Raw genomic sequence first — 26,290 nt, 5'->3', positions numbered from 1 at the left:
TCTTTGAATATGGCAAAGAAGATGGATTCATATAAAACCAGAGCAGATCTTGGTGGTACTTCAAGATATAAACTACCAACCCAATAGATAATTTCTGAAAATAACATTTTAGAGTCTCTTCCTCTATTTTTGAGAAGCTTGAATATTTACAAATACAGCATTCACTGTGAGACTTCTTGTTTCTTTTCCTTTCTAAGACTTTTAACTTGTTGTTTATTTTACTATTACATGAAACACATTTTATTTTAATTTTTAAAGTTTTAGTGTTTTTTGAGACAAGGTCTCATTCTGTTGCCCAGTTTGGAGTGCAGTGGCATGAACATGGCTCACTGCAGCCTCAACTTTTTGGGCTCAAGTAATCCTCTAGCTTCAGCTTCACGAGTAGCTGGGACTACAGGTATACACCACCACACCTACCTAATTTATTCTTACAGTTTTTAGAGACGGGGGTCTCGCTGTGTTGCCCAGGCTGGTCTTGAACTCCTGGGCTCAAGCAATCTTCCTGCCTCAGCCTCCCAAAGTGCTGGGATTACAGGGATGAGTCACCATACCCAGCCTTATTTAAATAAGGTTTGAGGAAACTTGGGTAGCTGGTTAAAACTCTGGCAATGATCTAGGTTTCAAATCATCAAATTCCTTTTTGCATGGTGTATAGACTCATGACAACTCTTATTTTTTTAAAGACTTTATTTTGTACATGCTTCTTATTAAAAAATTAATACAGAAAAGTACAAAGTAAAATCCCAAAATTCTATCACCTAAAAAAACCATTATTAACATTATTCCACAAACCTTCCCTTTGCATATATACACAGAGAGATAAATTTACACAAAAGGCTCACACATACCATACATAGTTACTAAATGAGGATGAAGCAAAATGAAGAAATTGAAGAAAATGAAGCTGAAACAAAATGAAGGAATTACCAAATTTTAGCTAAATGTTCTTTTGCAAGACACTTTAGTTCCTAACAATCCCTTTGAAGTTTTGAAAAAAGATTATGAAAAGCATTAAGAGTTTGAAAGTCTACATAATTAACTTTTTTTTTTTTTTTTTTTTGAGACAGGGTCTTGCTCTGTTGCCCATGCTGGAGTGCCTTGGTGTGATCATGGCTCACTGCAGCCTTGACCTCCCAGGCTCAACTGGTCCTCCCACTTCAGCCTCCGAAGTAGCTGGGACCACAGATGTGTGTCACCAAGCCCGGCTAATTTTTTAAAATTCTTTTGTAGAGACAGGATCTTCCAGTGTTGCCCAGGCTGGTCTTGAACTCCTGGAGGCTGGTCTTGAACTCCTGGGCTCAAAAACAATCCTCCTACCTCAGGCTTCCAAAGTGCCAGGATTACAGGTGTGAGCCACCGTGGCTGGCTGGAAAACTCTTCTAATAGTGGCTGGCATGTAGTAAGTGCTTATAGTAAATGTAAGCCAATGCTATTATAGAGGAATAATGGTGAGCATCTGGGCCCACGTATGATATTGAAATCTGTCACTCACAAAATAATCTCTTTGTCTCTCATTCATCTCAGAATAATTTTCCTGTTAAATCTACCAGCTCCTGAGGGGCCCTGAGGGTATAACCAATGAGTATGTGGGCACCAATGTAATGAATGTGTGAATAGGTGATTCTGTCATCTGTTTATAAGAATGACCAGAATACAAAATTCTAGCCTTTTTACAATCCTAAACATATACTATGTGCTACCAATAACAGCAACAATCACCATCATGCATGTCACTTACATGTACACACTAACATAAAGAACTTTATATCTCTGCTTTAAAATCCTCTTTAAAAGTAAACTATTAGCCTGGGTAACATGGTGAGACCTTGTCAATGAAATAAAAAAATTAGCCAGGCACCTGTAGGCCCAGCTGCTCTGGGGCTGAAATGGGAGGATTGCTTGAGCCCAGGAGGTCAAGGCTGCAGTGAGCCAAGATCATGCTACTGCACTCCAGCCTAGGTGACAGAGTGAGACGCTGTCTAAAAAAAAAAAAAAGGTAAATTAATGTTAGTGTTTCTAAATACCCACAAAATTATGAAATTTATATTATGTCTTAAGTTTTTTTTTTTGTTTGTTCGTTTTTGAGATGGAATCTCGCTCTGTCACTCAGGCTGATGTGAAGTGGTGCAATCTCAGCTCACTGCAACCTCCGCCTCCTAGGTTTAAATGATTCTCTGGCCTCAGCCTCCTTAGTAGCTGGGACTACAGGTGTGCGGCACCACGCCTGGCTAATTTTGTACTTTTAGTAGAGACAGGGTTTCACCATGTTGGCCAGGCAGACAAGCCTGACCTCAGGTGATCTGCCTGCCTCGGTCTCCCAAAGTGCTGGGATTACAGGCATGAGCCACCACACCCAGCCAATATTGTGTCCACTGTTTTCAGTTTATTAATCTATAAATTAATTTTTTAAATAAAAAAGCTTTATGAAAACAAAGGTAGATTTCACCTCCCTGCCTTATTTCATGATGATTCCTGAATCTGAACTTCAAGGGAGTTGATGACTTTTACTTAAAGATGTTCTGGGCCGGGCGGGGTGGTTCATGCCTGTAATCCCAGCACTTTCAGAGGCCAAGGCGGGTGGATGGTCTGAGATTGGTAGTTCAAGACCAGCCTGGCCAGCATGGTGAAACCTCGTCTGTACTAAAAATACAAAAATTAGCTGGTCGTGGTGGCAGGTGCCTGTAATCCCAGCTACACAGGAAGCTGAGGCAGGAGAATCACTTGAACCCAGGAGGCGGAGGTTTCAGTGAGCCGAGATCTCGCCATTGCACTACAGCCTGGGCAACAGAGTGAGACTCTGCCTCAAAAAAAAAAAGATGGTCAAGTCCACCAAAGTCTTTCTACCTTCCTCTTTTCTGAGTATTAATATATTTATTTTCTTTGATAGAAAAATGCTATTCAGGTCCTTCATGAAGACATGCATTTACTTTTATTACAAACTCATCTTTTCAGCCACATCTTTTCAGTTGCTTTTTTATTTTTGACACTCTATCCCAAAAAAGAATTTTAAAAGTAAATTTTATGATACAATTTTTAAGTTTGGTTACATCCCAAATTGGATTTTTCTTTGTTGGCAGGGAAAGGGAGAGTTGATGAAATATTCTAGCTGCTTCTCTGAGCTAAGGCTAAAGGTTTTCTTCTTTGTTGTTTTCTTTATCACATGTTTGGTAATTTAGGGACACACATCACCACCAAATAACAGATTATATGCCAATTTTCCATTTTGGCTTTGCTTTTTTTCCTGCATAGTGAGTATGTTGACTTTTTTGGAAATCATTACATTACAAATTCTAGGCTAAGAGTTTACCTGATCTCTAGTTTGAATGTGAAAGAGGATGATTTGATGTTTTTTTTTTTTTTTTCTCTCACCCAGGCTGGAGTGCAGTAGCGCGATCTCGGTTCACTGCAAGCTCCGCCTCCCGAGTTCAAGCAATTCTCCTTCCTCAGCCTTCCCAGTAGCTGGCGCCTGTCGCCACGCCCGGCTAATTTTTTTGTATTTTTTAGTAGAGACGGGTTTTCACAGTGTTGTCCAGGCTGGTTTTGAACTCCTGAGCTCAGGCAATCTGCCCGCCTCGGCCTCCCAAAGTGCTAGGATTACAGGCGTGAGCCACCGCGCCCGGCCGCTTTAATGATGCGCCCGGCCGCTTTAATGATGACCGCTAAATGATGCTTTAATTTCTCCATTAATGAGGGCCGGGGGCAGTGGCTCACTCCTGTAATCCCAGCACTTTGGGAGGCTGAGGCGGGCGGATCACGAGGTCAGGAGATCGAGACCATCCTGGCTAACATGGTGAAACCCCGTCTCTACTAAAAATACAAAAAATTAGCTGGGCGTGGTGGCGGGTGCCTGTAGTCCCAGCTACTCGGGAGGCTGAGGCAGGAGAATGGCGTGAACCCGGAAGGCGGAGCTTGCAGTGAGCCGAGATCGCGCCACTGCACTCCAGCCTGGGCAACAGAGTGAGACTTCGTCTCAAAAAAAAAAAAAAAAGAAAAAGGCCGGGCAAGGTGGCTCATGCCTGTAATCCCAGCACTTTGGGAGGCCGAGACAGGCGGATCACGAGGTCAGGAGATCGAGGCCATCCTGGCTAACACTGTGAAACCCCGTCTCTACTAAAAATACAAAACAATTAGCCGGGCATAGTGGCGGGCGCCTGTAGTCCCAGCTACTCGGGAGGCTGAGGCAGGAGAATGGCGTGAACCCGGGTGGTGGAGCTTGCAGTGAGCCGAGATTGCGCCACTGCACTCCAGCCTGGGCGACAGAGCCAGACTCTGTCTCAAAAAAAAATTCTCCATTAATGAAAATAAAGTAAATTACACTTGCATGATTATGGATTTTAATCCTGATTTATGTTGGGTTAAAGAAGTTTTAGTGCCTCCACTAAAAATGAGATAGAATATAGATGAACTACTCAGCTTTACTATGTATCCTGAATGAGTTAAGTACTCAAACAGTAAGAAATTACAAACATCTCTAACACAAATCTAAACACAAAATGCAGGAACCATATTCCTGCTATATCATTTGTCTTCCTTCTTGATTCGCTCATAGTACACAAATGTAGCAAAATCAATAAATATTGAACTCATGACATCACCTAAATGTGAAGTATTCCTGCCTTAGTAGTCTTCTAACAGTATGGTACCTGTGAATAAGTAAATTTCTTTATAATGATCTCTAAAACATGGCTTAAATTCTTTGGCCGCATTGAAATCTATAAAATAGTGCTTTCAATAAACCACTGCCTTGAGTTTGGAAATCGTTTTCTACACAAAGTCTTTGTTGCATTTGGAGAGGGGGAGGGATGGCATTTTTTTGTAACAGGATTTGACCTGTAACTATTATTAAGAATTTTCTTAGAGGAGTTCAAAGCATTTTACAGGGATCATCTCATTTATCCCTCGAAAGTAAGGCAGAGGCATTATCTCCACTACAGATTGAGAACACTAAAAGGCCAAGATAGGTGGGGCTTTTTGTTGTTGTTTTGCTAAGATCAAAAAGTAATTCTAGGGCAAAGCCAGATTCCGGTCTGACCTTGTTACATGATGCTTCTTGCAGCACCATAATACAATGTAGTTGCTTCCCTAGGTTTCTCTTTGGCTATGCTAGGTGTTGAATAATTTTCAGGGTCAATTTTTATTCTTCCCTGCTCCCTGAAAATGAGTGTTAAGATGTAGATAAGTACAAAAGAAAACTCTCCAATCCTTCCTACCTGGATTTGGAGTACAGGATAAACAGACAGAAATTGGCATCTTCCTCCCCTCCTCCAAGTTTTACTGCCTAGCCCAATGCTAATAGAAAAATAACCCGAGCCACAAATGCAAGTCCCATGTATAATTTTAAATTTTCTAGTAGTTACATTAAAATATATTGTATTTAGCCCAATACAGCGTATCCAAAATATTAACACTTCAACACGTAATCAATATAAAATTATTAATGAGATATTTTGCATTCTTTTTTTTGTATGGCTTCAAAATCTGGTGTGCATTTCTCACTTATAGCTCATTTCAATTTGTATTAGCCACATTTCAAATGCTCAGCAGCCACATGTGACGAGGGAGGACACTGTTGGACAGCACAGGTCTAGACCTCAGTAGCTCTCCCTTCAGATTAATGCCATGTGAATCGAATGGGTGGTATGAAGAATGGATGCTGAGTCCTTGGAGAATCCACTTGCACTTGGGTGGTGACTGATAAGAAGCCCTAGCTGTGCCATTTCCTGATACATGACTGTTTTTGAAGTTATGGACTCAGGATCTAGAAGACTGCAAATCCCCAAATACGTCTAACACCCAAGCTCACGCCAGGACCGTGCTTCCGGGCCTGTGTGAGAACCTAAGCTATGGAACCTGTCAACTTCTAGGGCTGCAGATTCGTTGGGCCCTCACATGTGGCCCGTGGAAAGGAGGCATCACTCGAGGAAGAGGAGGGCTTCTAGAGGGGCAAGGCCACCCAACTAGGGGCTTCTTGAGGGCAGGTGCTCCAAATGGCCGCTTCCTGAGGGCAGCGGGTCCTCTTGTGGCCTCAGGCAGGGCCCTGAAACCGGCCTCACGTGTTTGCAGCGCGAACTCCTGTGCTTCCACCAAGCGCTCTCGGGGATGCGGGGGTGGTGTCAGCGCCCCGGCCCCAGCCCGCACCCCGAAGTGGCTCCAAGGCTGCAGGTGTGAGGGGCGTGCCCAGGGCTCGGCCCGCGCCGCCCCATGTGACCCGGTCCGACATGGTGTCGCCTCCTCCCGGGGCGGCGGCGGTGGCGGCTCGGGCTGGGCTCCGCGTCGGGCCGGCCCCGCGGCCGCTCATGGGCAGCCAGGGCCGCTCGGGGCCCCCCGGGAACGGCGGGCCCGGCGAGGGCGAGGGCGGAGAGGCGAGGAAGCTGCAGGAAGGGAGGGTGGCGAGGGGGAAGCGAAGGAAGGGGAAGGGGAAGGGAAAAGCGAGAGCGGGGCAAGGCGGAAGAGGAAGCGGGGCGGAAGGGAAGCCCGGGCCGCAGACGGCGAAGGAGGCAGCCGGGCCGGGGGCTGACGCGGGAGCGAGGGCATGCCCAAGGGAGGAAGCAGAGGGAGGCAGAAGCGTGGAGGAAGGGGCGAGAGGCATCGTCAAGGGAGTCGAGGGGAGCGCAGGGGCCGGGAAGGAGGCACAAGGAAGAGAGTATGGGAAGAAGGAGGAATGGAGGGTCAGGGCTAGGCGGCGGGAGGGCGCCAGGCCGGGAAGAGCACAGGGACGAGGGGGTCAGGCTTGGGCCGACATCGCGGGGACAGGGGTGGCCATGGCGGCGGCGGCCGGGGAGGAGGAGGAGGAGGAGGAGGCGGCTCGGGAGTCGGCTGCCCGCCCGGCCGCGGGGCCTGCGCTCTGGCGCCTGCCGGAGGAGCTGCTGCTGCTCATCTGCTCCTACCTGGACATGCGGGCCCTCGGCCGCCTGGCCCAGGTGTGCCGCTGGCTGCGGCGCTTCACCAGCTGCGATCTGCTCTGGCGCCGGATAGCCCGGGCCTCGCTCAACTCCGGCTTCACGCGGCTCGGCACCGACCTGTAAGCGTCCGCTCGCCCGCCCGCTCCCCGCCCCGAGCCGGCCCCGCGTCCCGGGAAAGGGCGGGGCGCCGCGGCCTGGTCGGCCCAGGGTCGTGTCGCACCCCGAGTTTCTAGGCCTACACCTGACCTCCGCCTACACCCTTTCCCGAGCACTCTCGGGGACCCCTTTGCCCCTCCTCCCCAAGGCCTCCATCTGAGGCAGCCTCCCGAGAGCATCCCTCAGTAGGCACCCTCCCGGGTGGGCCGCTCCTCACAATTAGCCATCTTAGGCACTCCCTACAGCTTTCGATTGTGTGTTTTTGCAGAGGTTTAGCTGCCCCGGTTCCTTCGCCCCAGAGGAGCCAGTCTGGTACGGTGCTTTGGACGATTCCTTGAGTCCAGGTCTAGGACTCAGGTTCCTTAAGTGGTCTATCATAAATTTTTGTGGACTTTCATCTTTCATCCTCCCTACCCTTTTCTAAAGGTTGTTAAGCTTCAGGGCTCGGACCTTAAGAGAAGCCCTCGGTCCCAGTGTTCAGCCATAGTTTATGACTTCATATAGGCAGAGCGACACGAAAAAGGGGGCCTGCTTGAGGCAGGAGGCTGGAGTCTGTCCAGGATGTGTACAAGACATGGTATTGCAATTTGGCCTGTTTTTGGTAGGGTCTGAGACCTGTGAATGAAAAACTTTTCTGAACCACTTAAACTGTTAAATAGGAAGGAAAAAACATGTAGGGAATTGGGGGAATAAGAGCTTTCAGATTGCCCCCTATTCCACCCATTTTTTAAAAAGTAGTTCTTTCTAGTACATTATGACAACATTAAATAACGTTTTTAAAAACATAAAAAGCCATAATACCATCACCTCTAGACAATTATTTTCATTTAAAAACCTTTTCAGTTGCACATATAATTGCTATCTTACTGATCCTAACAGAATAGGTACATAGTAAATGTTTGTGGGCTGTCGCATAATGAGATTAAAGAACATCCCTCTACTATTAAACTTACATGTAGTGTTCAGCTTTTTGTTATTATAGATAATAATGAAATAATGCATTTTTGAGTAACAGCTTTACTGAAATATAAGTCACATGTCATTACCATACATATTTTTTAAAAATCAGTTCCTTAGGATAAAGTCTCAAGGTGGCATTATAGCAAAGGTTATGGTTTGCAGAGGTGCTGTACCAAATTATAGTGGGACCAGCACAGAGTGAACAAATTTTATGTGAGAATTTAGAAAATCTTTGCCACTTTAGTGGTCATTTAAGGTACCAAAGTTGTGTTATTTTGCATCTCTTTTACCACTGGCTGGGATAAATATATTCCCATGTGTTTGTTTCACCTGGGAGACTGTCTCTTCCCACTCTTTGCCCATTTATTACTGGGGTCTTCTTGTTTTTCCTATAAATTTGGAATCTTTGTGGGTCTTAGATGTTAGAATCTAGTCTGTCATCTTTGATCCAGATATTTTTCCCAGTCAATTCATTTTACTTTACTGTTTTACACTTTATTAGGCTCTGCCAGTCTTTTGTGATTTTTTTCTCTTTTTCTCCCCAAAGCTGAGAAATTTATAATTCCTCCACAGACCTGATAAATCTGTTTCCCACTGGTTTTCTTACAAATTTGATTTTTTTTTTTTTTTTTTTTTTGAGACGGAGTTTCACTCTTGTTGCCCGGGCTGGAGTGCAGTGGTGTGCACTCGGCTCACCACCTCCTGGGTTCAAGCGGTTCTCCTGCCTCAGCCTCTTGCGTAGCTGGGATTACAGGCATGCACCACCACACCCAGCTAATTTTGTATTTTTGGTAGAGATAGGGTTTCTCCATCTTGGTCAGGTTGGTCTCGAACTGCCGACCTCAGGTTATCTGCCCACCTCGGCCTCCCAAAGTGCTGGGATTACAGGCATGAGCCATGGCGCCTGGCCTAATTTAATTTTTTAATAGTTAACACTTTCATCAATATCACTTTTGGTGCAAGAGGTGAATTCAACTTACTATTGTTGTCTACAACTTTGTTAAGTAATTCTCTTTTCCTTTGTTTTGGACAGCTTATTTTGCCATATAATAAGTTTATATATATATTATATATAATATACACATGTATATACACATAGACATATATGTGTGTATATTGGATCTATATCTGAACTCTTCATTGTGTGTCACTGATACAGTTTTCCATTTCCATACTATTTTAAATATTGTTACTTTTTGATAGAGTCTAGTAATCTGTCAGGGTAAGATTATCCTGTTGGATTTATGTGTGTGTGTCACTTCTACACTTCTGTTCAACTCTCTGTCAAAAAAAAAAATTCTGTACTTTTTCAAGGACTTTTGTGGTTTTCATGATAAAGTTCTTACATATCTGTTGTTGCACTTACTCCTATGTATTTCCGAAAATGTTATGCATTTCGTTTTTATTGCAAATACACTCTCTTCAGTATGTTTTCTGGCTGGGTATTACTGAATGTAGAAGATTACTCTACTCTTGTAAATTTTGAATTTGATGGTTTTTTATTCTAGGATGATTGTATTCATGATAATGGTTCCTTGGGACTTCTTGGGCATGCAGTCTTGTCACCTGCAGAAATAGTTTTTTATTCTCTTCCTTTCTCATGAGAATAACTCTTTCAAAGAATATTATCAGTTAACCTATAAGAGAAGTCTAAAGTGACTGTAACCCAAGCTAGCTAAGGCAAAGTTTGGCTTTCTCTCTCTTCATATAGAGATTGAGTGAATGAATGAAAGAATTGATGTTTATTTTCAAATGCTCTAAAAGAGAGATATTGGGAATGAATCTACATTCTGTAGCAATAATAACAACAAAAAAAAAGAAAGTGAATTTATGGTGTAAAATGCTTTGAGATTGCCAAATGATATGGCTTTATTATTTATTAGACATGTGTGTTTTGATTTCTCGCCCATGTCCTAGGGTAAGGTGTCCTGGCCTTCTAGGGAAGTTATTTTGCCATAGCACTTGATAAAGAGCAGGGTCACTGCTCGGGTTTTCTGGATTGAGGGAAGAAGTTATGCGTGTTACAGCAGGTGGAGAGAATGTTTACCAGTGTGGTCCGTTTCTGGACAGCTGCAGAGACTTAATAAGCCACTGAGAGAGGTGGTTGTCATCCCTGGAGGGAGAAGGCATGCACCCCAGTCCACTTAGGGAGTCAGCGAACCCGGGCCCAAAGTACAGCAAGAGTATGGCTGCTTGGATAGTGGCAGGGCTGTCGTTCATTGCTTTGGGCTAATTAACTGCAGACTAGATAAGTGAGATGAGTTTTTATCAGCATTACACAAAACTTGATTTGACCAGAAGCCACATAACCTCACTGGCCCTAGGTTTTATTACCTATAAAGAATGGGAATAACCTTGCCTGGTAAAATGAGGCTTAAGTGTAGAATGCTGGCTAGTACAGCATTAAGCACATAGTAAGCACACAATAAATTGTAAAACGGAACTTTTTAATTGTTTGGGTTCTCCTCTAGTTAGTCTGTATATAGCAAAAGTGGGGATGGTTTGACTTAGAGGTGCTGACTAAAGACAAAGGGAAGAACACGCACACACACGCACTGTGCTTCGTTTCTCTCACCTGTCCTGAATGTTTTTGGAAACATGACAGCAGAACCTGTGGACTTATGGCCTGCACTCCGGGACGAAGAGCCTCTTGATTCTCAGAAACACAAACTGCTAAGGTTTACTGACCTTCCGGCCCAGGGCAAGTCCCATTCAGTTTGGCTGTTCCTAACTGATCATAGCTTTGTTGAGTAAGATGAACTGCTTTGGTTCCTTGTGATTTGCTAATGGTCTTATACTTGTGCTTGAAGGCATTCTGGCCACTTTAAAACCACAAACAAATAATTTGCTTCCCTTTAGGCCTCTTGCCCGAACAGTGAACACTAATAGATATCCTAAGCTTACTTTTCTTTTTTTTTTAAAGGGACACAAAGATAGTTGGAGTCAGTCATCTGATTTAAAATCAGTTTTGTTTGGAGATTTTATGAAGCCTGTTGGAATAGAAATATCCTGAATATAACAATAAAAATCAAAGAAATGTTTCATATAGCAGTCTTTCAAATTTTCCCTAAAGAGTAAGAGGACAAACTAACCTAGTTCCGTTTACAAGAACAAGACAGTGGAATTCAGCTGTCACTTGATAATGTAGACTGAATGCAAGAAGTAGACATTATGACAGGGGAAGAACAGGAGCGCTATCTGCAAATTCTGATACTGAAAATTAACAAACGCAAATAATGGAAAGAAAAAGTACATCTGTGCATGTAAAGCTATTTTTAAAAGATTCTATTGCCAGTCTTATGTTAAAGAAAGCTTACTTGATCCTCTTCCTCCCGAATTAAGTGCTACATATTCTCAAATAGGAATTTTATTTTAAATAGCCTTTGAGCAGTACCTGGGTGCTGTCTTGCATTTGCCTATGATAGATTTGCCTGGAATTAACAATAGGTGTTTAGGGAGTGAGGCTCCTGAGGTGTTTGTCCTGGCATGTACATTCATTCCTGTGGAGGGGTCCTGTAGCCTTGGAGCTCTTTGAGGCTGGGGGCCTGGGGTATCTATTTCAGTGATGATTAACGTCCAGAGTGGTGAGATAGACACAGATAAGCAGAGTGTGTTTATTTGTTTTAAAATGATTGTGCCTAAGAGCATTTTCTTGACCCAGAAAGCATATAGTTTCCTAACCAGTTTCCTAACCCTGAATGGAGATGGTATTGCTAACTGGTTACATTTAAGGCCTAAACTGTGATCTTCAGAAAACAATTAACAACTCAAAGTAGCTTAGGCTTTCTCCAGTTTTCTGCCTTACCCAGGGAGGACAGTCACTTATTTGTTCTGTAATTCACGGAATGATTTCGAATATGGATGTATTTATTGTCTTCGGCGTTTGGAAAGGCCTTATTTTTAATGGTTTCTATGAGTTAATAAAATAGAGTTTAGTTTACAGGTTCAAAATAAAACAGTACACCTGTGGAAGCAGGACATGGTCTAGTGCAATCACTACCTCCAAATGCGAACTGGAAGAATGGAAGAAGCCTTCTCTAAGACCATGAGAATACAGAAGCTGTTTATATCCTTTCCAGTCTTGTAAAACTTGAATGGTAGGGGCTGAATTTTCTAGCTTTCAAGGCAGAAACATGGAGAAACCCAATGTCTTCACAGTCTGTGAGATGAGCAATCTGTAGTATGAGTTCATACTGGAATGAGAGCTCTGAAAATATTTCGGTACTCCATACTTTCATTTTTTTTTTTTGCACCTGGAACCTTCATCTAAGGTAAAGATTGTGCTTGAGCTGCTGAAATCCCCAACTGACAGTGAGGTCACTGAGGAAGTATACAGGTTTTTTAAAAAATTATTTTTGAATGTGTGACTTAGAAAAGAATTACGTGTGTGTGACAACTTAACCTTAGCTCTGGGTTGACCCTGGCACTGGATTAGTTTCTGGTCCTGACTTGTAACCATGGAACTGGGAGAAATTTAGGCAGATTCTTATTGAGACCAGGCTCCAAAAATATTTGAAAATTAAGATGAGATCAACTGTTTGAAAAAAAGAGGAGAAAATTGGGTTTTGAATTTTCAGTGAAAATTGGCAGACTCCCTTCTTTGATCTGCAGAAACTGACTTTTGCTAAGCTTCAGAATTTACCTCAGGTGTGTCAACCATGAGTCAAGGTTGAGAATCCAAAGATTTGGTTTACCCTTGAGGAAAGTCCTTCCTATTCAGTAGTCTTGCTCAGATGGAACTCCAATTGTAATCAATTGAATCAAAATGGTTATGGTAATTAAGAATATGTTTATGTACCCTGAATCATGTAAATATTTGAGCTTTCTCTAAAAATGAGTATGAGACTATCTGGAGAAAGAATTTATCTCCTGTTAGAGGTTTGGCTGCCTTGTCTCAATTTTGAGTCATTTCTTCATTTTATCCAAACTGTCCACATTGCCCTCCCTGGAAGTCTGGGCCACCCAATGGGCCCCTGTGCCTGCCGCCCCTCTTTAGCCCACAATTAATTGCCAGCACATTCTTTCTTCTTCCTCTTCTTTTTTGGTATTTGACATGAGCTCAAATTGCTGAGAAAGGTGACAACTGTGAAATGAAGACAGGGCTTGGAGACACCTTAAAAAATACATGCAAAGGCCACTAAATGACAAGAGCAGACTGCCAGGCTCTTTCAAAACATCACCACGTCTGTTGACTTTCCATTCCTTGTCCACAGCACAAAATTGGAGGTCAAAGAATCATAGGAGTTAGAGATGGAAAAGACATTTGGGGTCAGCCAGTTCATTCCTCTGCCTTCTCCTGCCCCTGATTTCAAATCATTCCTTACATTATATTTTCTCCCCCAGCTCTTGTACAGTTTTCACGGTCTTCACTCAACCCTGGCTGTCACCTTTGGGGAATGATGCTGGAGGTTGTCTCCAGTTTCTCCTCAGCAAAGAGAGATATTGCCTGTGCCCCCAGTTGACATTCATGGACTTCTTTGTTGGTGGTCTCAGCTGAGAGGCTGAAGGATAACTGGATGCTTCTCTGTTGCCTGGTGATGGGGTGTTTTTAGACAGAATTGAAGAGCATTTAGTGTATGATGATATTGGGCAAGGGATATTGGGCAAGGGCTGGGGTGTAGGGTAGCCATTGATGAATTTGTTCCTAGACTTTTGTTGTTCAAGTCTCTTGACCTGGAGGGGGATTCGTATTTGTATGAAGTGTGTGGTATTGGGACAGGTGGGCAGGGATGGGAAATTATAGTGAATAGGAGTTTGATAGGAACCCTAACTTGGAGATTGGTAGATTAAACAAATAAGAAATACTGGTCTTGTGAGGTGGTAGAGGATTGTTTTAATAGTTACATGTTAGGGGAGAAATAGAGTGGTGGTTACTGTACAGAAGCTTCAGTTTGGAGTCATATTGAGGAGAACAGATGGGCCGGAAGCAAGTATTTTGGATTAGGGTACGCTGTTGATTTTGTGGTCTCCCCTTGCTTTAAGAAAGTAGAGAAAGAGAAGTCTTATGCTCACTGGCTGTGTGGGTTGGAAGGGGGAATGGTCATTTTTAGAGGCAGCTTTGGAGGGATACCCCCAGCTCTCCTGTCTTTTTCCAGCAGCTGTTGGGAGCAGTCCGAAGGGGGTATTATATTTCTTCTGGTAACTCTGCCAAGAATGAGAGGAAATCCACAATCTGTGGGTTTTGTAGGGGGGATGAGGATGGGGTGGCAGGTGATGGGACAGGGAAATTAAATTGTTTTATAGTAAATATGTTGAGATACTTTTCCTGGAAAGCTGTTTCACTGAAAGGAATGATATTTCCCCTGCTCACTAACCCTGTAATGAGTTCATTCTCCTTAAAGAAAAGGAAATAGTCTTTGAGTACTTCTTTTCCTTTTTTCCCTGTAGTTCCAGCTTTGACCTCCCATGTTTCTTTGAGTTTTCCTTTAGAAAGTCTACATCAAAAAGTTGAATCAAGGTTCAGATATGGGTGGTATGTGTGTTTGTCCCCTCCAGAAGTGAGTTGCTAAGGGAGAACTTCATCCCTTATCTTGGATGCAGTTTGACTTTATCATAATGGCCTAGAAGCTGGAGATGTAAAAACTTGCTGGGTGACGTCTGGTTCATATTCTCCTCATCCCTTCATTCAGGCTGGAAGGTCACCAGGGATTTTGAAGTCTGGTCACTTGGGTTGAGAACCTGTTTTGATGATTAATATAGAACACAGTTTCATGATTAAAAACAATAAAAAACAACCCTGGGAAGCAGAGCAGTGTAATTATTTCTCACATTTCAGATGAGGAGTCTAGGGAAAAGTCATTTTGAAGGTATGAGAACAAAGTCTACCTCTTAGTCTGCTAGTGCCTAATTCATGACTCACTTAGAGGAAGGCCTGTTCACCGCTCCCTGCCCCCCAAAAATCCGCATCTTTCTTGCCATTGTTCATTTTTAGAAAGTACTAGATCAGCCTTTCCAAAAGTTGTATTGTGGGATTCTTGAAAAACTAATTCTGTAATCAAATGAGTGGGGAAAATGCTGTGCGCCACATTCCCTCTCTTGGGGATCACAATGTCCATTGGGGATTAAAGGCACTGACAAGTCCTGTGATAGAGGGACCTGTTTACTTTTGTTTCAGCCAGCATCATGCAAAATGTTTTGACCATAAAATTCTTTTTTTCACTGCTAAATATCTCTTTAACATCTTGCAGAACACACATACTGGTCAAGTGCCGTGCAAATACAGAACCTAACCAATGCCAGGAGGAAAAGGATGTGAACACAGCCAAGTTCTGAATCTTAAGCTCATGCACATAAAGGACCCAGGGTTATGCTTAGTGCTTCTGAAACTGTTTAGACATTTTTGACATGTGGGTGCCATGTTAAGATACTTTATCTGCTCAGATTTCTTCCCTTGAGCCTCTCTAGAATAAGAATTTAGAGGCTTTGGTTGAATTCTTGAAGATGTGGTATGTTACACATTTTAAGGAAGGGCCTTTGGAGCTACGGGTGTTGTTCAAAGTGTGACTTGCCAAAGGGAGGACCATGTTTTTGGAAACTCTTGCTTGAGCAGTTCCTAAGCAATGTCTATCAAAATACCTATTATGCTAGGACCATGGTTCTCACTTTTTGTGTTAAAGACATAGTTTTGTATAATGTTAGAATTTTTGATAGTACATTAAAGAATTAAAGGTAAATGTCATTTTTTTTTAAAAAAGCAAGTTTCAGAAAATTGAAGAACCTGTTCGTGATTATTTACACTATTGTTCACCCTCTGGTGTGTTACTGTTTGAACAGTATTGTTTGCAGCCCTGACCTTGTTCTCTTATATCCTTTGAGGTAAAGTTCATATATGTTCCTCTGAACATGCAATCTTTATTTTATTTTCAGCAAATTGTATCATGGGCAATATTTTGGCTTAGTGTCTGATAGAAATCCCTGTAAAATTGTGGATTGTTAGTTGAACAAAAATAAATTCTATATATTGTTTAAAATTTGATGGTGCACTTATTCAGGGTTACTGCTATACCACTTGTCTGCACAGTGATGGTTGAGAGCCACTTTTAGAAGCACAAAGTTGTTTAAGACTTGATCCTGTGGAATTTATGACTAAATTAGCCAAAAAAGATGATGTATAGCTGTGAAAAGCTAGCAATGCCTAGGTGTATGGTAGGTTCCATCTAACAGTTCAGATGGCATGTTTGGAAGAGTCACAGAAGTAGAGGCTTTATCTAGATTTTAAAGAATGGATGAATTTGACTAGTCCCCAGAAGTAGCAGTCAGGGGCAAAGGTAGGCTGGGGCTGGCAGTATAGGTGAAAGTGTGGGTATATGAATGAACGTGGAAGAGATTGGCTTGGTGGGAGTCCAGTTGCATAGTGTGAAGCATGAAAAGTGAGTTGAATGGGTAAAGTGGGTTGACAGCTGGGGGTCTTTCAAGGGAGCTGTGGGTCAGTTCAGTCAGCTCCATGCCCTCTTTGTGCATGGTCTTGTCCTCATGCTGGCATGTTTCCTACAGTTTCCCTTCACTCTGAATTTTGGGGCTATTCTCTGTTCCTTGGCCAAAAGGATAAGCAATTTAACATGATATAAAGATTTTTTATTAATTTTGTTTGAACCTTAATTATAAACCTCTGCTACTGAAGCTATTGGAAGATTCAGGCTAATGCAAGTATAAATGAAAAGTTAGAAGGTTCTTATCTTTGGCTGCTTAAATACTTTACACTAAAGCCAAGTTCTTAGCATTGATAGAAGAACTGGTGAGAACAGGCAATCTGGGGAAAAATCTGGAGAGAAAGAAGATAAGAGAAATCAAGAGATAGTGTTAATATAAAATTCCAAGCCCCAAGGCCTGGTGCTGTGGCTCACACCAGCACTTTGGGAGGCCGAGGCAGGTGGATCATTTGAGGTCAGAAGTTCAAGACCAGCCTGGCCAACATGGTGAAACCCCATCTCTATTAAACATACAAAAATTAGCTGGGTAGGCCAGGCGCAGTGGCTCACGCCTGTAATCCCAGCACTTTGGGAGGCTAAGGCGGGTGGATCACAAGGTCAGGAGATCGAGACTATCCTGGCTAACATGGTGAAACTCTGTCTCTACTAAAATTACAAAAATAAAGTAGCCGGGCATGGTGGCGGGCGCCTGTAGTCCCAGCTCCTTGGGAGGCTGAGGCAGGAGAATGGCGTGAACCTGGGAGGCGGAGGTTGCAGTGAGCCGAGATTGTGCCATTGCACTCCAGCCTGGGCAACAGAGCAAGACTCCATCTAAAATAAAAAATTAGCTGGGTAGGAGTGGCATGTGCCTGTAATCCCAGCTACTTGGGAGGCTGAGGCAGGAGAATCACTTGAGTCTGGGAGGTGGAGGTTGCGTTGAGCCCAGATTGTGCTACTGCACTCCAGCCTGGGTGACACAGTGAGACCCTGTCTCAAAAAAATTAATTAATTAAAATAAAATAAAATTCCAAGCCCCAAGCATTTTGTGTAACCCTGTTTTCCCCTCCTTGGCCTGGTGCCCCTTGACATGGCCTTGTTGTACACTTGGAGACACTTTCCTTTCCTGAGTTTCCTTCCAAATCAGCAGGATGTTATGCTTATGGAAATCATGCCATCCGTGCAGTTGGTCAGCATTGGTGGCTTCCAGGGGAATCAAGCTGTGAGATGGGACAGAGAGGGAAATTGATCTGTGTTCCAGGAGTTTTCTGATCTCAGAGATTATGTTGTTTAAGACCTCTTCGATATACCTACACTTCCCCTTCCTTCCCCCCAGCCAGTTTTCTTCAGACTAGGTTTATTTATTTGCTTTTGGTTTTGGGGTGTGAGCAAGGAGAGGGGAAATGAAAGGTCATTCTAGATAACTGCCTAGATTAATTTCTGTCCCTCTGGACTCACTTGCCAAGATTTGAAGGGGCCAGATAGCTTACTGTGGGTGCATGTTGTGTTGTTTTTGTTTAAAATAGGTCATATGCCCAGGAATGCAAACTCTAATGGTTACTAAGTGCCGGAAAGCTGAGAGAGAAGGGGCCTAGTGGAAAAATGAGCCTGAGGCAAGAGAAGGAGGGCTGGGAAAATGGCAGTTCAGCCAGGCCCACGGGGCCAGGTCCTCTGTGCATTAACATCCACGGAGAGATTTATTTACAGGGCACTAATCATTTTTTTGAGAGGAGCACCCTCACTTTACATTAGTAACCATATGGAGAAATGGCTGGCCAGAGGCCTCTTCAAGGATGGGAGCAAGGGTCCCTGGTGAATTCCAAGGGGTACCTGCTCCTGTCTTCTCAGGTACTTTTCTTCTGCTGCCTTGTTCTCCTGACCCCCTTTGACTGGCAGTGACACGTTCCCACAGGGATGGAGGGATACCTGTTTTCAGAGAAAGGAGATATATTAAAAATTTCTTTGGATTTTTCAGGTGCTGAAGCCAATAAAAATATAGATATGATTTGGCCAACAGCTAGGGAAACTGTAACCATCCAAGATGGTTAGACAAAAGATATGAAAAAGCTGAGTTGTTAAATTGTTTTTAACAAAGTAGAGCTTTTTCAAGTCAAAGCCAAATTGAACTTTTTTTTTTTTTCAAAGTCTAAATTTGAAGGACTACAGCCAAGTGTTTTGATTATGATATTCTTCTTGGGAGAGGATGCCTGCACCTGCTGTTTGGTAGCAGCTTCTAAAGTTCAACTTTGAAAGTTTCTTGGTGCTATGATCAAACCCTCAGGGGAGTATTTTGACCCCTAGTAAAGTGTCACATGGCAGTTAAGTGACCAGGGAGGTGAGAGAAGTGCTGTCTTTATTCCAATTCAGGAAATATATCCATTCTTTTACTTTCGTTTTCTTCCTGCTATGATCCAGAGTACTCCCTTTTTAGTTTCATCACCACTCATTAATTTTAGACCTAATTCAAGAGAAGAGATATAACTGTAAACAGTTTCTTCCTTTATATCTGGGAGGGATTTGCAGATACGAGGAGCAGACAGGGAAGTCTATTTTTTTTTTCATTTAGATTTCAGTTCCTTTGGCCCATCCTGTTAAGTATCTTTTACTGTCCTCAGCAGTAGTCTGGTAGTGTAGGTGGCTCTATAGTGATTTAAAACCAGGGACTACATTCACCCAACAGAATAATTCAGTAAAAGATTTTAGCCTTAACATGTGTATAGCCAAGTCCTAATTGTTCAGCCTGAAAAATAACAAATGTTTGATATTGGAGGAACAATTTCTAATAGTTATAACTAAACTAATTAGAAGAAAAACGAATGATTATTAGAGTCACATTAGTGACAACACCATTAATGGATATTATCTACTACCTATACTTATGTAAAGATAATTAACTTTTTTTGTAGTGATTTATAACATGTATTGTACTTCGTTTTAGGTGTCATTTTAAAAAACAATTGTGTGAAATATTATCCTTATTTTATAGGTGAAGAAATGGATAATTGGAGAAGTTAGTTACCTGGGTTGTATAATTAGTAAGCGGTAGAATTGGGATATAGATCCCAGTTTCCTAAGTCTGCCTTCTGTGCTTTTTCAGTTTTATTTAATCTGCTCTTTAGTTAAAGGTAAATAGGAAGACATAACTGTCAACAATTATGTGATATATTTTCAACAATTGATCACTTAATAAAGCACCATCTATTAACATCTTTAGACCTGTTATTATTATTATTATTATTATTATTATTATTATTATTATTTTGAGACGGAGTCTCGCTCTGTCGCCCAGGCTGGAGTGCAGTGGCGCGATCTCAGCTCACTGCAAGCGCTGCCTCCCGGGTTCATGCCATTCTCCTACCTCAGCCTTCCGAGTAGCTGGGACTACAGGCGCCCGCCACCACGCCTGGCTAATTTTTTGTATTTTTAGTAGAGACGGGGTTTCACTGCGTTAGCCAGGATGGTCTCTGTCTCCTGACCTCGTGATCCGCCTGCCTCGGCCTCCCAAAGTGCTGGGATTACAGGCGTGAGCCACCGCGCCCAGCCTAGACCTGTTAGTATTATTATTATTATTATTATTATTTTTTTTTTTTGAGACGGAGTTTCGCTCTTGTCGCCCAGGCTGGAGTGCAATGGTGTAATCTCGGCTCACTGCAACCTCCACCTGTCAGGTTCAAGCAATTCTCTTGCCTTAGCCTCCCGAGTAGCTGGGATTGCAGACGCCCACTACAACGCCTGGCTAATTTTTGTATTTTTAGTAGAGACAGGGTTTCACCATGTTGGCCAGGCTGGTCTCAAACTCCTGACCTCAGGTGGTCCACCCTCCTTGGCCTCCCAAAGTGCTGGGATCACAGTTGTGAGCCACCAAGCCCAGCCTAGACCTGTTATTTATGGAGACATAATTTTATGTAGTGTCTCCCCACCTCTACCTTTATAAATTTAACTTAGTTTTAAAAATACCATTACTTGCTATAGTTGTTGCCAAAATGTTTTGCAATCCTCACATTTGTCATTTCTAGTGGCAGTATATTCCATTGCATTAGTATACTATTCTCCTCCACAGACAGACCTTCGGGCTATTTCCAGATTTTAGCTCTAATATATAGCTGCAGCTATAAATATCTTTGTAAAAATTTTTTCTTTTGAATTATTTCTTCATGATACAGTGCTCAAAGTAGAAATGCTAGATCATAAGCTGTCATTTAATGACTTTTGTCTTAACAGAATTCCTTTCTGAAAGACTGTACCTGCTGAATGTGCTATAAGCAACATGTAACCAAATCCACACTCTTATATCAAATTAAAGCTAGTGTCAGTTTTTTCTACTTAATAGATGTGAGGTGTACTTTAAAAATTGTTTTAATGTACATGCCTGTAAACTATTCTTGGGGGATGTTTCCTCCAATGTTTTATATTGTGAACACTGTGACTGTCCTTATCCTCTGTTGGACATGGATGATATGGTATTGGAGACAGGGTGTTATCTTGATAGATTTTTATCAGCTCCCTAAAAGTTTTAGAGAGAAAACTTATATCTACAGTGTTAGTTAAAATTTTTCCCCTACTCTGTTGCTTTTAATCTTTTTTCCCTTCCTGTAGCATTTCAAATTTAATAGCATTAAACTCAAATACTTTATAATTGATACATTTCTATTGCTTCAATAGAATAATTTCTATTATCCCCATTTCAATTGGGAAATTATCTCTGCTCTTCATTGAAATATGTATATATTTTGTTTTCTTCTAGTTAAACTTTTAAATTCACCCTCATATTTTTGGAATTTATTATATTGTGGTATGAGATGGCAATCTAAATCAGTTTTTTTCTCTATTGATATTCAACAAGTTTTATCAACAGCATTTATTATTACTATTTTAATCAGTATTTGAATATTACTCAGCCATAAAAAGGAATGAAATAATGACTTTTGTGCAACTTGGATGGAATTGGAGGCCATTATCCTAAATGAAGTAATGCAGGAGTGAAAACCAAATACTACATGTTCTCACTTATAAGTGGGAGCTAAGGCATGGGTACACACAGGCGTACAGAGTGGTGTAATGGACATTGGAGATTCAGAAGGGAGGAAGGTGGGGGGGTAAGTGATAGAAAAATTACCTACTGGGTACAGTGTACGCTATTCAGGTGACTGGCATACTAAAAGTCCAGACTTCATCATTGTACAATTCATCCATGTAACCAAAAACCATTTGTACCCCTAAAGCTATTGAAAGTAAAAAAATTTTAAAAAGGAAAAAGAAAAATTAGAAAATATGTAAAAGCATAAAGGAGAAAATAAAAACACCCAAAGTTGACTATCCACAGTTAACTATGGGTGTTTTATTTTATCCTTCCAGTGTTCTTTCTAGCCATGCATATTCTTATTCCCTCTCTCCTTTCCTTCTCATGAAGTCAACTTGCTATACAAACCCAATAGCACTAATTAAAGTGATTTATTTCCTTAGTTTACAATTTTCTGTTTGTTATATATTAAATTCATATCAGTTTGGGCCATTTCTTGCTTTCTTTTTTTAAAATCAAAGACAGTTGCTTATTGCTTATTTCCAATTGAAAAGAATATACTTTCTAGAAATATAAGAATTATAATTGCTCTTTATGAGCACTTACTGATATGCGTAAGGCATTGGGCAAATGAAAACAGTGCCTGGCATATTGTGAGCACCACATTAAATGTTGGTTAAATAAATTACAATTGGAATAATGATCCAGAGAGATTTATAACATTCTGTATAATTTAAAAATAGTATTCAGCTGGCCAGATGCAGGAGGATTGCTTGAGGCCAGGTGTTGGAGACCAGCCTGGGCCAAGGCAGGAGGATTGCTTGAGGCCAGGTGTTGGAGACCAGCCTGGGCAACATGCATATATACTTATCTACAGTGAATACATAGTTGCCTCTAGAGAGGGAGAGTCTTGGCTAGGGGTTTCGAGAAAGACTCACTTTTCATTGTTAACCTTTCATACTATCTGTGTGTGTGTGTTTTTTTATCCTGTGCATTTACTACTTTATTAACCAAAAATAATTATTCTATATGAATAAATAAGTGAAATAACACCAGGAGGCAGAATATTATTTAGCTAAAAGTGAATTAGGTATCTTCTTTCTGCCTGCCAAAACCATTCTTTCTAACCTGTGTCCATTAGAATCTTGAAAGCTGGACTTGCTTGCTGGCTTTTAGTAAAATTTGGCAAATGTGACGGTATAAGTAGAGGCTCGAATAAATGAGTGTATCTCGCCGGGCGCGGTGGCTCATGCCTGTAATCCCAGCACTTTGGGAGGCTGAGGTGGGTGGATCACGAGGTCAGGAGATCGAGACCATCCTGGCTAACACGGTGAAACCCCGTCTCTACTAAAAACAGTAAAAAAAATTAGCTGGGTGTGGTGGTGGGCACCTGTAATCCCAGCTTCTTAGGAGACTGAGGCAGGAGAGTGATGTGAACCCGAGAGGCGGAGCTTGCAGTGAGCCGAGATCGTGCCACTGCACTCCAGCCTGGGTGACAGAGCGAGACTCCGTCTCAAAAAACAAACAAACAAAAAAGAAATTAGTGTATCTCTCCCTGGCCAGCAAATTTCCAGGCAGACATGGCAGTTATCACTCTTGTCCCAAGCAGTGTACCTTGTATGGGCAGTGGAGCAAGCTAAGGAGACACAGGAGATATATGGGAACCTAAAGTGGAATTTTCAAATTCTTGCTCATGATTTCAAAATTCTCTTCAAAGGCGTACTCTGTAAGGGGCTTAGAGCTCTTCTCCCTATTGCCTATTAACCCATCCCCAAACAGTGCCATTCCTGTAGCTTGTGTGCTCTCTTCTCTTATTGCTGTTAACTCAGCTCACCCAGAAAGTACTATTGACACTCGCCCTCCAATGTTTTGAAGAATTTAAAACTCAGAAAAGTTGAATGAATTGTACCATGAACACTCATATATGCACCACCTAGGTTCTACAATTAATATTTGGCTGTATTTGCTTTATCATGCATTTTAAAATAAGTTACAGATATCAGTACATTTATCCCTAAAGGCTTCAGTGTGCATACATATCATTGACTAGAGTATATTAGTTTATGGGTTTTTTTTTTTAAGAAAAAAATATATACAGTGAATTTATATTTGAGTAAACTGCACAAATCTTGTGTATCATTTGATGTATTTCTTTTCTCTTTTTTTTTTTTTAGAGAGGGAGTCTTATTCTGTTGCCTAGGCTGGAGTGCAGTGGTGGAATCACTGCTCACTGTAACCTCGAATTCCTGGGCTCAAGTGATCCTCCCATCTTGGCCTCCCAAAGTGTTGAGATTACAGTTGTGAGCCACTACATCCTGCACATTTGGTCCATTTCTGACAAATGCATATAAACTTGTATAACCCAAACCCCCTCAAGACTTAAATATAGACTATTACCTCAAAGTTTCCATATGTTCTTTCCTAGTCAGTCTCCATCCCTATCCTGGTAGTAATGACTGTTCTGATTTTTTCATCATAGGTTAGTTGTCTCTCTTCTCAAGCTTCATGTAAATGAAATCATACACTACGATTTCTTTTGTGTAAGATTTATTTCATTCAACATAATGTTTCTGTGATTCATCCACATTATGTTGTGTATCAGTACTTCTTTCCTTTTTTTTGCTGAGTAGTATTCCATTATATGAACCTACCCTAGTGTGTTTATCCACTTTCCTGTTGATGGATGCCTGGGCTGTTTACCACTTTTGGCTATTATGACTGAAATTCCTATGAACATTCTTGTGTAAGTCTTTTTGTTTCTCTAAGGTTATTCCTAGGTCATAGAGTACACATATGTTTAGATTTATAATAAACTGCCAGACCTTTTCCCAAAATGGCTGTACCATTTTGCTTTCCCACCAACAATGTAGGCGAGTTTCTTATTGGTCTTCTAAAAATATATGAACAAATACAAAGAGGACTTCCTCATCACGGTACAAATTCCTGTCAGATATACATTCTGTGAATCTTTTCTCCCAGACGACGGCTTGTGTATTCATTTTGGTGAGCAGATGTTTTGGATTTGATGAAGTCTGATTTACTGGATTTTTATTTTCTGTTATTGCTTTCTGTGTCCTAAGAAATCTATGTCTACCTTCTTAGTCTGAGAGATGTTTTTATATATTTTCTTCTGACAGCTTTATAGTTTTAGATTTTAAGTTTATGATCTGTTTTGAATTACTTTTCCTGTATGGTGTGAGGTAGGGGTCAGGATTCATTTCATTTTTTTTTTTTTTTTTTTTTTTTTCCCAATCTGGACATCCAGTGGTTCCAGGATTGTCATGCATTCTCCATTAGATTGCTTTGGCATCACTGTGAACATTTTTGATAGTTTAAAGGACAGGCTTTTCTCCTTGGCTTTCTTAGTCAAGTATGGAGAGAGAACAGTTACTCCTTCCTGGTCTCCTAATCTCTTTACTTGTATTCTGGATGCTCCTGAATCCTGACTCAGTAAGCCCATGAAATTTTCTGTGGTTGGCAATAAGTTGTAGTGATTGGATTATCTGTTCTGTCTGGACATAGGATGACCAGTGTCCCAGTGAAGGAACGAGTGAAGGTGTCTCAGAACTGGAGACTGGGGCGCTGCCGAGAGGGGATTCTGCTGAAGTGGAGATGCAGGCAAGTAGCCTCTTGACTTTTTAAAAGCTACTTGGGACATAAAAGCATAATGGAAAGTAAAAAATCTGGTCCTACATAGAGGCTAATGGGGCTATCTTGGGTGGGTGGGCACTGGTGAGCCTTTGAATAACACAAAGGGGGCATCAGAAGGACAACTTTTTCACATTTTAAAGAAGGGAATACAAGAAATGTACTTTAACAAATGACTTTTTTTATGATTATAAAGAAATCAATGCTTATTTTAGAAATTTGAAGAAAAAGAAAATTCTAAAGAAGAAAATAAAACTAACCTGTAACTCCACCACTCAGAGGTAACCTCTGTTAACATATGCCATCAAAGGAAATAAATCAAGGTTTCAATTCATCTTATTTTACAAATATTTTTATTTAAATCTTCTACTCTATGGAGTTACTTCTTCATTCTTGGCTTCCCTGAGTCCTCTCCCCTACTTTATTAAAAGGCAGGGTAGGATCTAAAGGTTTGGATATATATGTTACAGGAGTTAGAGCTTAGAGCAAGTATAAGGAAATTTAGAAAATGCCTGTGGCACTGCTAATGCTACCAATTTTTATGCTTCATTGGTGCTAAATGATTTCATAGTTATTATTTGACTCTCTACCAAAAAATTGCTCCTTGTTGATTGGTTGCAGTGGATAGGGAACATCATGATTCCACATTCCAGAGTGACCTGTACCTGTGCTGAAGACACAGGCGGCCCTCTTCATCTGATGAACCTTTCTTTCCTGCTTGCATCCAGTTTGCACTGGTTTCACTGGCATCAGATACTGTGAATAATGTGGTATTGGGTAGTGGTGGTGATGATGGTAAAGAAACTACAGGAGAGAAAGACGGATTTTTATGATGAAGGACTTTACCCTCTGCTTCCCACATTTGCCTTTTGGGGCTAGTTTCAAGCAGTTTGGCAAATAAACACACAGAACAGTTACCAGGCTGCCCTGGGATTCTCCACTGTTCACCTGGCATGAACCTGGTTTCTTGTCCTAGGCAAATGGCTGTTTACCAGATGGCTCTAAACACAAAAATTCCCACCCTCTCTGTTTGCTGCCTACTTGAGTGTGCCACACACTCACGCAAGGGGATATTGAAGAGGAATGTGCATAATGAGTGAGAGAGCAGGCATCTGTACACACTCTACACATGTTCCATGTAATATATGCACACACTTGTAAAAACCTCATGAGCAGAAACTCAGTTACTACAAAGTCTA

The 26,290-nt window shown here is 41.6% G+C and overlaps 1 protein-coding gene across 3 annotated transcripts in view, besides 4 other annotated features; it reads left to right on the top strand.

Annotated features, from left to right (window-relative positions):
• Window positions 6,063–6,342: a silencer, noted in NCBI's record as "silent region_2725". NCBI's record gives its function as "represses an Ori minimal core promoter by ATAC-STARR-seq in GM12878 lymphoblastoid cells {active_cell/tissue: GM12878}" and the evidence as "EXISTENCE:reporter gene assay evidence [ECO:0000049][PMID:35858748]".
• The window catches only part of FBXW4 (F-box and WD repeat domain containing 4), an 84,630-nt gene continuing 64,446 nt past the window's right edge, over window positions 6,107–26,290 (top strand). For 2 of the 3 annotated variants that reach the window (NR_136613.2, NM_022039.4), the window contains exons 1-2: window positions 6,232–7,021; window positions 24,966–25,061. Coding sequence is in view for 2 of the 3 variants with exons in the window: in NM_022039.4 (NP_071322.2) it covers window positions 6,297–7,021; window positions 24,966–25,061 (821 nt within the window). In the remaining variant the exon portion in view is untranslated. Of the gene's footprint in view, window positions 6,163–6,231; window positions 7,022–24,965; window positions 25,062–26,290 lie in introns of those variants that run through there. The other variant, NM_001323541.2, reaches the window with a different exon arrangement.
• Window positions 6,373–6,422: a silencer, noted in NCBI's record as "silent region_2724". NCBI's record gives its function as "represses an Ori minimal core promoter by ATAC-STARR-seq in GM12878 lymphoblastoid cells {active_cell/tissue: GM12878}" and the evidence as "EXISTENCE:reporter gene assay evidence [ECO:0000049][PMID:35858748]".
• Window positions 6,703–7,162: a silencer, noted in NCBI's record as "silent region_2723". NCBI's record gives its function as "represses an Ori minimal core promoter by ATAC-STARR-seq in GM12878 lymphoblastoid cells {active_cell/tissue: GM12878}" and the evidence as "EXISTENCE:reporter gene assay evidence [ECO:0000049][PMID:35858748]".
• Window positions 7,473–7,552: an enhancer, noted in NCBI's record as "active region_3915". NCBI's record gives its function as "activates an Ori minimal core promoter by ATAC-STARR-seq in GM12878 lymphoblastoid cells {active_cell/tissue: GM12878}" and the evidence as "EXISTENCE:reporter gene assay evidence [ECO:0000049][PMID:35858748]".

Source organism: Homo sapiens, chromosome 10 (genome assembly GCF_000001405.40).
Source record: "Homo sapiens chromosome 10, GRCh38.p14 Primary Assembly".
In the NCBI taxonomy this organism is placed as follows: domain Eukaryota; kingdom Metazoa; phylum Chordata; class Mammalia; order Primates; family Hominidae; genus Homo; species Homo sapiens.
Note: the sequence above shows the minus strand (reverse complement) of the source record. Positions and strands in the feature narration are given on the sequence as shown.